At 34.2% G+C, this 14195-nt stretch overlaps 1 long non-coding RNA gene across 1 annotated transcript in view, besides 1 other annotated feature; it reads left to right on the top strand.

Annotated features, from left to right (window-relative positions):
* LOC105374171 (uncharacterized) overlaps positions 1-14195 on the top strand; it is a 71200-nt gene that overhangs the window by 40854 nt on the left and 16151 nt on the right. The window lies entirely within an intron of this gene.
* Positions 7548-8083: an enhancer, noted in NCBI's record as "NANOG hESC enhancer chr3:154639118-154639653 (GRCh37/hg19 assembly coordinates)". NCBI's record gives its function as "activates a minimal SCP1, AML or CMV promoter by ChIP-STARR-seq in primed H9 embryonic stem cells {active_cell/tissue: H9 hESC(primed)}" and the evidence as "EXISTENCE:reporter gene assay evidence [ECO:0000049][PMID:30033119]".

Here is a 14195-nt window from a genome sequence, read left to right as displayed (position 1 = left end):
CACTCTCTGCTCTTTAACTGACAAGGGCTAAGCTCCTGACTGCTATTGTCTTCCTTGAGTTTTGCCCCTGCTTTTGCTTGGCATTTCTGTCCAAGAAAAATGCTGATCTTGTTTTTGAGATGGGCTATGTCTTTTTGGTCTCTCTGTTATCAACCTATATATGTGTTTAGAGTGGAGAGTATGCATCAAAGAAACATACTCGATGTTCAAGAAATCTTTAAAGAAATGCTGTCTTCTCAGTTCTTGGGGCAATATTGTGTTGAGTCAACTTATCCAGACAACTTGGCTGGAAGGCTTTATTGGTGCAAGTATTTCATAAACTGCAAAGTTCTATACAAACATAAAACATTATGTTGATGTGTATAAGAAAGAAAACCTAAGGTTTATCTTTTTCTGAACTTCACCAGCCATTCCTGAGAATATCTGATATTCAGTGTTATCACTTCAATAGCAGCACAGATCAGTCACAGAGTGTGGCCCACAAATTGCTGATCCATGGATTGTTACTGATCTGGGGCAAGATAAGTTCAGAAAGTGAGAGTGAGCACCTAGAAAATTTTAGAGCAATTTGACAAAGTAATTTTACATTCGTTATATCTAATGATTTGAAGAATTAGCTTATTATATTTTTATATCTTTTAAATTTCATTTTTCTTGTACTTTAAAAAATACCTGTGACGAATTGAAAATTGAAACTAGGTCCTTTACCACAGATAGGCTTATACTGTTACTCATGCTTATTATATTTCACCAAATACGATTTCATCAATTTAACATGTGCTATAATCTTTATATATTAATACAAAAGAAGAAAACAATGCTACCAATTAAGCTATCCACAAGGCCTATAAATCACTTAGTTTTTAAAATCTTATATTTACTGAAAGAGCTCTTTTAGTAAAGTAAACACAATTTTGAACTTAACATAACTTTAAAGAATTTCATATCAGTCTTATGTGGGTATAAAAGGAAAATGTTAATGCAATAAATTAATGAAGAAGACATTTCCTAAATTTCTTTACAATCTGAGTCCAATGCTTCTGACTCACTTTTCAGCTTAGAGTTGTTAATGTCTGTGTTTTCTACACAATATTGCCCCAGGGCTGAGAAGATGGCATTTCTTTAAAGATTTCTTGAACATTAGTTGCAGATTTTTCTCCCCAAATTACTGGCCTTACTAAAAAGTGTCTAGGGGCAGTTACGTGTATTTTAGGAGCAAACTATATCGTAACTTTTCATGCCTGTAAGTACTGTCCTTTCTTAGGTTCCATAGAGCACTTGATAGTTGCTTTGCAAGAAAAAATGAAATCATGACTATCTTTTCAAAAACAAGTATCTGCTTCTTCAGTATCAAATGTATACTCAATGTTCTGTTTCCACGCTTTATTGCAAATATAATAACTTTTTTGTGTTAATGCTCAGTTATATTGTAATCTTTTAAAATATATTTTAAAAGACAATTAAACCCAACACATATATTATTAACAAGGCATTTAATTCCATAGAAGTGATGAGAATATGAAAACTGTGACTGAGCTTGAGAATGCTTAGGCAAGGTCTGGCTGACTATAATTGCAATCACAGATTATGAACTGTATCCTAATAACATGAGCTGTCTTTACAATCTTTTATTTTATTTTTTCAGGGATGGGGTCTCGCTTTGTTGTCCAGGATGGGATGCAGTGGCTATTCAGAGGTACAATAATCATAGCGTACTGCAGCCTCAAACTCCTGGTCTCAAGTGAGCCTCCCAAATAGCTGGGACTATAGGCAATTGCCACCACACCCAACCTTGAATTAATGACTTTAAGAGTGAGCTATCATTTTGCCTATAACTTAAAGATACCTAGGTTCATGATTAATATTTACTCCCAGGAGAATCACTAAACTTAATGCTTCTAAATTTAAATCCATTGAACATAAAGGAATTATCTAACTGTATGGAGATTGCAACATTCCATTGACTAAATCAACTAGCCTGCTAGAGAGCTCAGTAAATAGCTAAGTGGTTTAATTTACTGAACTACTTACTCCAAAGACAGAGTGTATCTAGCACATGTGTAACAAACAGCACTTATAATGTGTAAGGCATTATCCACAGCAACCTTTTAAATTAGGATACTAATAATTCTCCCATTTGTAAGACCAGGCAACAAGGGCAAAGAGAGGTTAATAAGTTGTGGAGCCAGGACTCAAAACCACATGTCTACCCTAAGGGTTGAAAGACTGAGCTTTTAACATATGCTATTTTGTTTTTCAATAAGTGAAATTATTTTGGCTACACTTTGAGTTTTCAGAAGATCTCATAGTTAATTTAAGAAATTATTTTCTAAAACTTTCCAGATCATGAAAGCATATAATGGGAGAAAAAACAACAACTCTGAATTTAAGCAAACAAACCAACTACACTGGTCAAGGCTGGGAGCATGAGTGGAACCAGCTGAAGAAAATGTGGCCCAATCAGAGCCTTTACCAAGTCTTGGTAATAAATGCCCTTGGCAAACAAAGACAATCAGAACAAAAACTACTTTCCACTACCACTGAAAGGAAAAAATGTTGGCAAAGATTATGGAAATGTGGTGACTTGTAATTATTTAGCTGAGGGGGAATATAAACTGGGACTTACATAGACTTTAGATGCCAAACAAAACGATTTTAATGAAATTCTAGGAGACCAAATGTAAATTAAAACTATGGTCCAGGCTACAGCGTTTCTCCACTATTGAATATACAAAGGTGAAACTGAATCACCAAGGGGGACAAAGCAAGCAACGATATCAGCTATTTCTCACAATGAAATCCTAATAAAAATGCAACTGAGTTTGTTAAATTTCAGTTGTCTGAGGTAGATGCATTTCCTCTTGTTATTTAAACAGCAGATTCTTGCTTACCTAAAATACAGAGCCCCAAAAATGTCCATTTGCCCAATAAAATCTTTATTTAGGGAATACAACACATGAAATACTTAAACAATAGGGTATTTTATATGTTATAAAAGGATGCATTTATATTTCATAGACAATTTAGTTTCCCATGAGTTAAATGAATTTCCAGATCATTGTGTGATTAAGCTCTTCGTTCTAAGAAAGTTTAAAGTAAAGCTTAGGTAATGGCCAAGTTAAGATGAATAAAATAATTGAATAGAAAAACACTATTTGAAATTATAATACAATCAATACCAAATATTTGATTTTACTAAATTATATAGACTAAGACAAACCTTATTCACTTTCAGCAGTAGTGCTTTCTAAAAATCCTGGCATCTTTTAGAAGGAAAACACTGGAAGATACTAAAGGACAATCCGTTGTGGCTAGAATACAATATTACATCTTTTATTTGCATTTAAAAATATTTATACTGTTATTTTCATATACTCATTATGTATCATGTTTAATGTTAAACAAATAAGATGTTTTACTTTATTACATTTTGAAACATGGATTGGCCTAGGAGCCCTTATTTGGTCAATATGTGAGGATGTGGAGGCCGTCCTATCAAAAGGATGAGCTCCAACCTATGATGGGTAATTTTACATGTAAACTTGGTTGAGCCAAGGCACCAGGCGATCCATCAAACATTATTCTGGATGTTTCCATGAAGGTGTTTTTTTGGATGAGATTAACACTTAAATTGGTGGATTTTGATTAAAGCAGATTACACACCATAGTGTGGATAGGCCTCATCCAACCAGTCAAAGTCCTTAATAGAACAGAGACTGACCTTTCTCAGAGGAAGAATGAATTCTGCCAGCACATTGCCTTCAGATTCACGCTGCAACTCTCCCCTGGATCTTCAGCCTGACAGAACCTCCACCTTGCAGATTTTGAATTTACCAAGCCCCACAATTGTGTGAGCCAATTCTTTAAAATACCTCTCTCTCTCTTTCTTTCTCTCTCTCTCTCTATATATAGAATATATATATTCTATATATATTCTCTCTATTCTATATATATTCTCTCTCTCTATATATAGAATATATATAGAGATATATATATACACACATGATATATATGATATATGAATCATATATGATGCTATATATATTTGATATATGATATATGAATATATATGATTATATATACATACATATATATATCTATATATATGCAAAGAGAGAGAGAGAGATAGCCTATTGTTTCTATTTCTCTGAAGAACTCTGACTAATACACCCCCATGAAGGAATGAGAGTGGAGCCATCACTTATTTGCTGTCCCTTAGAAATCTGGGATGTATTGCCATTTATGTGTGCTTAGCTATATAGACTTAGAGAAAATATTAATCAGTTTTTAACTACATTCATCCTCACAAAACAGACAAGTGGTCTAAAGATTCTCTCATATAAAAACTCAAGTTGAGATTATGTTAAAATTCAGCACAAATAAGCCTCAAGACACTTCATAACTACATTCCAATTAAAAAATCATTATTGAATTACATATGAGAAATCTGTTATGAAATCTGTTATAAAACTGTAACTATCTGAAAATCCATTTGAAAAATAGATTTATATTATTAATGAACCATGCTTCAGGTATATATTGTGCTAGGAAATAATAATTCAAGTTTTTAAAACCTGATATTTGTGTAATTTAAAAATAAATAGCAGGGGATATGTACAAAATATGTTTTAATAAAATGGGCGATCATTCAAAAATATTTACACACTAATTTTAGATGAATGTCAAGCAGAATAAACATTTAAAAAAGCTGACTGATAAAATTAAATGCCTTCAAACCAATCTTTGCTGTTAGAAGTCAGAAAAATTGATACTATTAGAGGGAGCAGGTAGTGACAAGAAGGCTTCACAAAGGGGCTTCTGGTTTTGCCGACGATTTGTTTCTTGAGCTTGGTTTGGTTATATGGATGTGTTTAGTGCATTAAAGTTCATTGAGCTGTGCTCTATAAATAGACTCTTTTCTCTATGTTTATTAAGCTTCACTAAAAAGTTTAACAAAAAATGGCTTTAAAACTAGAAAATGTACCCCTCTACAAATTCTGAATGCATAAATGCAGTTAATTTGTATATATACCAATTGTGATTATAAAGGGAGACCATAAGGTGCAGGCACTTTCTGACCATCAAAGAAACAGGCTAAGATTTTAGATAGTTTGGAAATTTCGCATATATGTTCATGAGCGGTATTAGCTTGCAGTTTTCTTGTAATGTCTTTGTCAGATTTGGGTATTAGTGTGGTGCTGGCACCATACAATGTGTTGGGAAGTATTCTTTGCTTTTCATTTTTTTCAGAGACTTTGTTTAGGATTGGTGATATTTCTTTCTTAAATATTTGGTAAGATTCCCTAAAGAAGGTATTTGGGCCTGAATTTTTATAGGAAGATTTTTAACTATAAACTCAATGTTTTAATAAATGTTAGGCTATTCCCATTATTCGTAAGTGAGGGTTGGTGGACATTTGATTATTTTTTCCCCCTCAGTCTAAGTTAAGTTCCTTGGCATTAAATTTTTTATAAACAACTTTTGCTTAATTGAAGTTTAATTTACTTTTTTTTTAGTTTTTAAATGTAGAGGCTAAGATTATTAATTTGAGGCCTTCTTTTTCTTTTCTAATATAGCCATTGCTACTATAATTTCCCCTCACATACTGCATTCCACATTTTCATTCAGTTCAAAATATTTTCTGATTTATAAAAAAATCTTTCTTTGATACACGGGTTATTCAGAAGTGTTATTTAATTTCCAAATATTTGGGATTTGTCAGGTATCTCTTATTGATTTTAGTTTAATTCTGCTACGTTTATACAACATATTTTCTATACCATAAAACCTTTCAAATTTAGTAAGACTTGTTTTATCACCCTGAATGTGGTCTATCTTGGTAAATCCTTACTGTGCACTTGAAAAACAATGTGTATTTTGTTGTTTCTGGGTGGATCATTCTAATAGTTTTCTAGTTGGTCAAGTTAGTTTGGTAGTATTACTCAAGGTTCAATATACTTACTGATTTTCTGTCTATTTCTTCTATCAACTATTGAGATGTATGTTGAAATTTCCAGCTATAACTGAGAATTTATATATTTTTCTTTGCAGATTAATCAATTTTTCCTTCATGTAATTTGAAACTCTGTTATTAGGTATAAAAACATTTAGAATTGTATGTCCATTTGATGAATAGAACCTTTTATCATTATAAAATGGCCCTTTTTATCCCTGGTAATATTCTTTGCTCTAAAATCTGTATTATCTAATATTAATATGAGTGATTAATGGTAGCATGATATATCTTTTTCCATCCTTTAACATGTAGCCTATTTGTGTGGTTTTTTTTAATTTAAGGTGGTTTTCTTCTTGGTAGCATTTGTTTGTTTGTTTGTTTTCAATACAACTTCTGCCTTTTAATTGGAGTGCTTAATTAATAATTAATGAAATTACTGATATAGGTGCATGTGAGTCTATCATATTCTTATTTGTTTTCAATTTTTCTATATGCTCTTAGTTCCCCTTTACTGTATTTTCTGGCTTCTTTTGGATTTTTTAAAAAATTATTTCATCTTATTTACTTTTTTGGTTTATTAATTATAACTCTGTTGTATTTATGTGTTATGTGTATGTGTTATGTATACTTTGAAGCATAAATTTTTAACTTATCACAGCTTTTCTTATATGTATACCACAGCATATATATAATAAGAACCTCATGTCAGTACACTTTCATGTCTCCCCTCCTGGCCTTTGTAATATTATTGTCATATATTTTACTTTTACATATATTATAGATCCTAAGATCCTATGATACACTGTTTTTTTTTCTTTTAACAGTTTTTAAAAGACATTTTAAAAAACAAGAAATTTGATATAGTTTGGGTCTATATCCCTGACCAAATCGCATGTCAATTTGTAATCCCCAGTGTTGGATGTTGGGCCTGGTGGGAGGTGCTTGAATCATGAAAGCAGATTTCCCCCTCAGTGCTGCTCTTGTGATAATGAGTGAGTGTTAGCCAGATTTGATGGTTTAAAAGTGTGTGGCACCTCCCTCCTTGCTCTCTTCCTTTGGCTCTGGCCATGTGAAGACATGCCTGCTTCCCCTTCGCTTTCTACCATGATTGTAAGCTTCCTGAGGCCTCCTTAGCCATGCTTCTTGTACAGCCTGCAGAACTGTGAGCCAATTAAATCTCTTTTCATTATAAATTACCCAGTCTCCAGTATTTCTTTATAGCAGTGGCGAGAATGAACTAATACAGAAAGCTGGTACCAAGAGGTGGGGCATTGCTATAAAGACACCTGAAAATGTGGAAGCAGCTTTGGAACTGGGTAATGGGCAGAGGTTCGAACAGTTTGGAGGGCTCAGAAAAAGACAGGTAGATGAGGTAATGTTTGGAACTTCCTAAGACTTGAATGGTTGTGACCAAAATGCTGATAGTGATAGGGACAGTGAAGTCCAGGCTGAGGAGGTCTCAGATGGAAATGAGGAATTGGAGTAAAGGTCACTTTAATAAGTAAAGGTGGCTTATTGGGATATGGAGTAATGGTCACTCTTGCTACACTTTATCCCTGTTCTAGGGATCTAAGAAACTTTAAACTTGAGAGAGATTATTTAGGGTACCTGGCAGAATAAATTTCTAAGAAGGAAAACATTCAAGATGTAGCCTGGCTACTTCTAAAAGTCTATGCACATATGCATAAGCAAAGAAATTATCTGAAACTGAAACTTATATTTGAAAAGGAGGCACAGCATAAAAATTTGGAAAATTGGCAGCCTAGCCATGTGGTAGAAAAGAAAATCCCATTTTCTGGGGAAGGAATTCAAGCCAGATGCATAAATTTGCATAACTAAAAGGAAGGCAAGTACTAATAGCCAAGACAATGGGAAAAAGACCTGAAGGCATTTCAGAGACCTTCATGGGAGCCCCTCTCATCACAGGCCCAGGAGGGCAAAATAGTTTCGTGGGCCAGGCCCAGGGCCCTACTGCTCTGCACAACCTTGAGATGCTGCTCCCTGCATCCTTGGGGACTCCAACCATGGATCAAAGGGGCCCAGGCACTTAGGCCACTCACTGCTTCAGAGGGTGCAAGCCATAAGCCTTCGTAGCTTCCACATGGTGCTGGACCTGCAGGTGTGCAGAGTGCAAGAGTTGAGGCTTGGTAGCCTCTGCCTAGATTTCAGAAGATATATGAAAAAGCCTGAATGTCCAGGCAGAAGTCTGCTGTGGAGGCAGAGCCCTCATGAAGAACCTCTACTAGGGCAGTGCAGAGGGGAAATGTGGGGTTGGAGCCCCCACACAGAATCCCCACTGGGCACTGCCTAGTAGAACTGTGAGAAGAGGACCACCATTTTTCAGACCCCAGAATGCTAGATCCACCTGCAGCCTGCACTGAGTGCCTGGAAAAACCCCAGGCAATCAATGCCAGCCCTTGAGAGTAGACATGAGGGCTCAGCCCTGCAGACCCAATGGTGCAGAGCTGCTCAAGACCTTGGGAGTCCACCCCTTGAATCAGCATGCCCTGAATCTGGGACATGGAGTCAAAGGAGATTATTTTGGAGCATTAAGATTTAATGACTTTCCTGCTGGGTTTTGGACTTGCACAGGGCCTGTTGCTCCTTTCCTTTGGTTTATTTATCCATTTTGGAAAATGAGTATTTACCCAGTGCCTATACCCCCTTTGTATCTTGAAAGCAACTAACTTGTTTCTGATTTTACAGGCTTATAAGTGGGAGGTACTAGCCTTATCTCAGATGAGACTTAACTTTCGACTTTTGAGTTAATACTGGAATGAGTTAAGACTTTGGAAGACTGTTGGGAAAGCATGATTGTGTTTCAAAATGTGCGGACATGAGATTTGGGAAGGGTTGGGCAGAATAATATGGTTTGGATCTGTGTCCTCCCAAAATCTCATGTCAAATTGTAATCTCCATTATTGGAGGTGGAGCCTGGTAGGAGGTGACTGGATCAAGTGGGGCAGATTTCCCCCTAGGTGTTGCTCTCATGATAGTGAGTGAATGCCCATGAGATCTGGTTGTTTAAAAGTGTGTGGCACCTCCCCCCTTGCTCTCTTCCTCCTGCTCTGGAGATGTGAAGGCACGCTTGCTTCCCCTTCACTTTCCACCATGATTGGAAGTTTCCTGAGGCCTCCCCAGTCATGCTTCCTATAGGAAGCCTGCAGAACCATGAGCTGATTAAACCTCTTTTCTTTATAAATTACCCAGTCTCAGATATTTCTTTATGGCAGTGTGAAAACAGACTAATACAAAAGTTTTTCTAATTATATAATTACCATTTCTAGTGCTTTTTATTCCTTTATATAGATGCACATTTTCATCTGGTATCATTTTTTTCTGCTGATAAACTTCCTTAAAATTTTCTTGTAATAAGCAGTCTGCTAGTGATGAATTCAGATTTTGTATGTCTGAATAAGTCTTTATTTTACCTTTGTTTCAACAAATATTTTTCCTTGGTAAAGAATTCTAATAGACAAGTTTTTAAAAATGTCAACATCAGCTCTATAGTTGATAGCATCTCCTTAATTCTTACCACACTAAATCTAATCTCTGATTTGTAGAGTTTGAGGCTCATCCTATCATTTTAATTGATTGTCTCACTACTCTAAAATTAATTTTCAAATGCAGGCATACTGGTCTCCTTCCTCGTCCTATTTATTTTTCTGCCTTCTCTTTAATGTTACCTTCTTTTCAGACTGACTTATTTTACTTAGCAATATGTGTTTAAGTTTCCTCCATGCCTTTTCATGGCTTGATAGTTTATTTCTTTTTAACACCAAATAATATTCTGTTGTCTGGAAGTACTGCAGTTTATTAATCCATTCATCTCCTGAGGGACATCTTTGTTGCTTCCAAGTATTGATAATTGTAAATAAAGTTGCTATAAATATCTGTGTGTGTGTTTTTGTTTGGATATGTTTTCAACTCATCTGGATAAATACCAAGTGAGCAATTGCTGAAAAATATGGTATGAATATGTTTAGTTTTGTAAGAAACTGCTAAACTGTCTTCCAAGTAACTGTACCATTTTGCATTCCTACCAACAATGAATAAAAGTTTCTGTTGCTCCACATCCTCATCAGTGTTTCTTGTTGTCAGTATTTTGGATTATGGCCATTCTAATATGCAAGTAATGGTATCTCATTGTTGTTTTAATTTGCCTTTCTCTGATGACATGATGCAGAACATCTTTTAATATGCTTATTTGTCATCGGTATAATCTTGTTGAAATGTCTGTTTAAGTCTTTAACCCATTTTTAAATCAGGTTGTGTGTTTTCTTATTGTTGAGTTTTAAGAGTTCTTTGTATATTTTGGATAACAGTTCTTATTCAGATGTGTGTTTTGCAAATATTTTCTCCCAATCTGTGGTTTGTCTTTCCATCCTCTTTATATTGTCTTTCACAGAGCAGAAATTTTTAATTTTAATGAAGTTCAGCTTATCAATTATTTCTTTCATGGATAGTGTTTCTTGTGTTATATTTAAAAAGTCATTGTTACACTCAAGGTCATCTAGATTTTCTCCTATGTTATCTTCCATAAGTTTTATATATATATAAAATATATATATATTTACATTTGGGTCTAGGATTCATTTTGATTTAATTTTTGTGAAGGATGTATGTTGGTATCTAGATTTATCTTTTTGCATGTGGATGTCTAGTTGTTCTAGTACCATTTGTTGAAAAGACAATCTTTGCTCCATTGTATTTTCTTTGCTTTTTTGTCAAAGATCAGTTGGGTATATTTATGTGGGTCTATTTTTGGGATTTCCATTCTGTTCCACTGATCTGCCTATTCCTTTCACCAATACCACACTGTCTTGATTACTGTAGCTTTATAGTAAGTCTTGACATCAGGTAGTGTTTGTCCTCCAACTTTGTTCTTCTCCTTTAATATTATGTGGCTATTCTGGGTTTGCTTCTTCATATACACTTTAGGATCAATTTGTCAATATCCACAAAGTAACTTGGTTGGATAGTGATGGGAATTGCATTAAATTTATAGATCAAGTTGGAAGAACTGACATCTTGATAATATTGAATTTTTTGTCTATGTTCTTTGCCATTTAAATCTTCTTTGATTTGATGTGTTTCATCAGAGTTTTGTAGGTTCTCTCATATAGATCTTGTACAATTGTGCTAGTTTTATACCGAAGTATTTAATTTTTGGGGTGCTAATGTAAATAATTTGGTTTTAATTTGAAATTTGACTTGTTTAATGTTATGCAGGAAAGTATCTGACTTTTGCATATAAACTCTGTTTCCTGCAACCTTTCTACAATTGCTTATTAGATTCAGGAGGCTTTTTTTGGGGGGCGGTGGGACAATTTTTTTGGATTCTCTATGTAGACAACCAAGTCATTTGTAAACAAAGACAGTTTTATTGCTTCTTTCTCAATCTCTATGCTTTTTATTTCCTTTTTGGTTTGATATATTGCAGTAGCTAGTACTTTCAGTATGATGTTGAAAAGCAGTAGTGAGAGGCAACAGTCTTACCTTGTTCTTGATCTTAGCGAGAAGATTTCAAGTTTCTCACCATTAAATATATTATCTGTAGGTTTCTGTGGATGTTCTTTATTGAGGACGTTCTTTTCTATTATTAGTTTTTATCATGAATGGGTGGGAGTTTTTTTCAAGAATGGGTGTTGGATTTTGTCAAATACTTTTTCTTCATCTACTGATATAATCATGTAATTTTTAGACTGTTGATTATAATAATGAATTTTTAAAAGTTGAATCAGCCCTGCATACTTGGGATAAAACCCACTTGGTCATGGCATATATGGTTATGCATCACTTAATGATGGGAACATGTTCTAAGACATGCATCATTAGGAGATTTCATCATTTTACAAACATCATAGAGTGTACTTACATAAACTTAGATGGTACAGCTTACTACACCTAGGCTATATAATATAGACTCTTGTTCCTAGGCTACAAACTCATACAACATGTTACTTTCCTGGATACTGTAGGAAATCACAATGCAATAAGTATCTTTGTATCTAAACATAGAAAAGTGCAGTAAAGATGTGGCATTATATTATATCATCCATCATTGATTAAAATGTCATTATATGGTGCACAACGATAATTGTTTCTATACATTGTTGGATTCAATTTGCTAATATTTTATTCAGAATTTTTATTTCTACATTCATAAAATATATTGGTATGTAGTTTTCTCTTCCTGCAATATCTTTGTTTAGTTTTGGTATTAGGTAAGGCTGGCCTCATAAAATGAGTTAGGAAGTAGTCCTGTTGCTTCTATACTCTGAAAGAGATTGTAGAGAATAGTACAATTTCTTCTGAAGTGTTTGGTAGAATTCTTCAGTAAACCTCTTTGAGCATTCTGCTTTCTGTTTTGGAAGGTTATTAATTATTGGTTTAATGTCTAGAATAGATATAGAACTATTCAGATTGTCTATTTCTTCTTTTATGAGTGTTTGGTCATTCTTTTAAGGCTTTTGTCTACTTCATCTAGTTTATTAAATTTGCGGGTGTAGAATTATTCATAATATTTTTTATTATCATTTTAATGTGCATAGGATTTTAAAGTTTATAGTATTTCCCCTCTTTCATTTCTGACATTAGCATCTTGTGTCTTTTCTTTCTTTCTTTGTAAGCCTGGAAAAAGGATTATAAGTTTTACTAATGTTTTCAAAGTAACAACTTTTGATTTTGTTGATTTTTCTCCATTGATTTCCTGTTTTCAGTTTCATTGAGTTCTGCTCTAATTTTTATTGTTAATTTTCTTTGGCTAACTTTGGCTTTAATTTGTTATTTTATTTCTAGCTACCTAAGGTGGAAGCCTGGATTATTTATTTATTTAATATTTTTAAATTTCCTAATTTTAAAATAATTTTTTAAACTTTTATTTTAAGTTCTGGGTTACATATGCAGGTTTGTTGTATAGGTAAATTTATGTCATGGGAGATTATTAGACAGATTATTTCACCATCTAGGTATTAGCCTATGAAGGAAAAAATGTTAAAAGCAGTTAGAGAGAAAGGTCAGGTCACCTATGAAGGGAAGCCCATCAGACTACCAGCAGACGTCTCAGCAGAAATCCTACAAGCCAGAAGGGATTGTGGGCCAATATTCAACATTGTTAAGGTAAAGAAATTCCAACCAAGAATTTCATATCTGGCCAAACTAAACTTTATAAGTGAAGGAGAAATAATATTCTTTTCACACAAGCAAATGCTGAAGGAATTTGTTACCACCAGATCTGCCTCACAAAAGCTCCTGAAGTTAAGCACTAAATATGGAAAGGAAAGACTGTTACTAGCCACTACAAAAACACACTTATGTATACAGACCAGTGACACTATAAAGCAACCACACAAACAAGTCTGCATAACAACCAGCTAGAATTAAGGTAACAGGACCACATCTACACATATTAATAATAATGTTGAATGTAAATGGGCTAAATGTCCCACTTAAAAGACAGAGTGGCAAGCTGGATGAGAAACCAAGATTCACTGTTATGCTGTCTTTAAGAGACCCATCTCACAAGCAGTGACACCCATAAGCTCAAAATAAAGGGATGAAAAAAATTTACCAGGAAAATGGAAAACAGAAAAAAGCAGGGGTTGCAGTCCTAATTTCAGAGAAAACAGACTTTAAACCAACAAAGACCAAAAAAAGACAAAGAAGGGCATTACATAATGGTAAAGGTTTCAATTCAACAAGAAGACCCAACTATTCTAAATATATATGCACCCAACACAGGAGCACCCTGATTTGTAAACCAAGCTCTTAGAGACCTTCAAAGAAGTTTAGACTCCCACACAATAATAGTGGGAGACTTCAACACCCCACTGACATGATTAGACAGATCATCAAGACAGAAAATCAACAAAGATTTTCACAACCTGAAATCAGCACTGGATCAAATGAATCTGACAGATATCTACAGAACTCTATCCCAGAGCAACAGAATATACATTCTTCTCACCACCACATGGCACATACTCTAAAATTGACCACACAATTGGACATGAAACAATCTTTGGCAAGTGCAAAATAACTGAGATCATAACGACCACTCTCTTAAACCACAACACAATAAAATTAGAAATCAAGACTAAGAAAATTGCTCCAAACCATACAATTACTTGTCATACAATGTGTGATAATCACATCATGGTAAATTAGGTATCTATTGCATCAAGCATTTATCCTTTCTTTGTGTTACAAACTATCCAATTATACTCATTTAGTTATT

This window comes from Homo sapiens, chromosome 3 (genome assembly GCF_000001405.40).
Source record: "Homo sapiens chromosome 3, GRCh38.p14 Primary Assembly".
Taxonomy (NCBI): Eukaryota; Metazoa; Chordata; class Mammalia; order Primates; family Hominidae; genus Homo; species Homo sapiens.
This window is presented reverse-complemented; position numbering and strand designations above follow the sequence as displayed.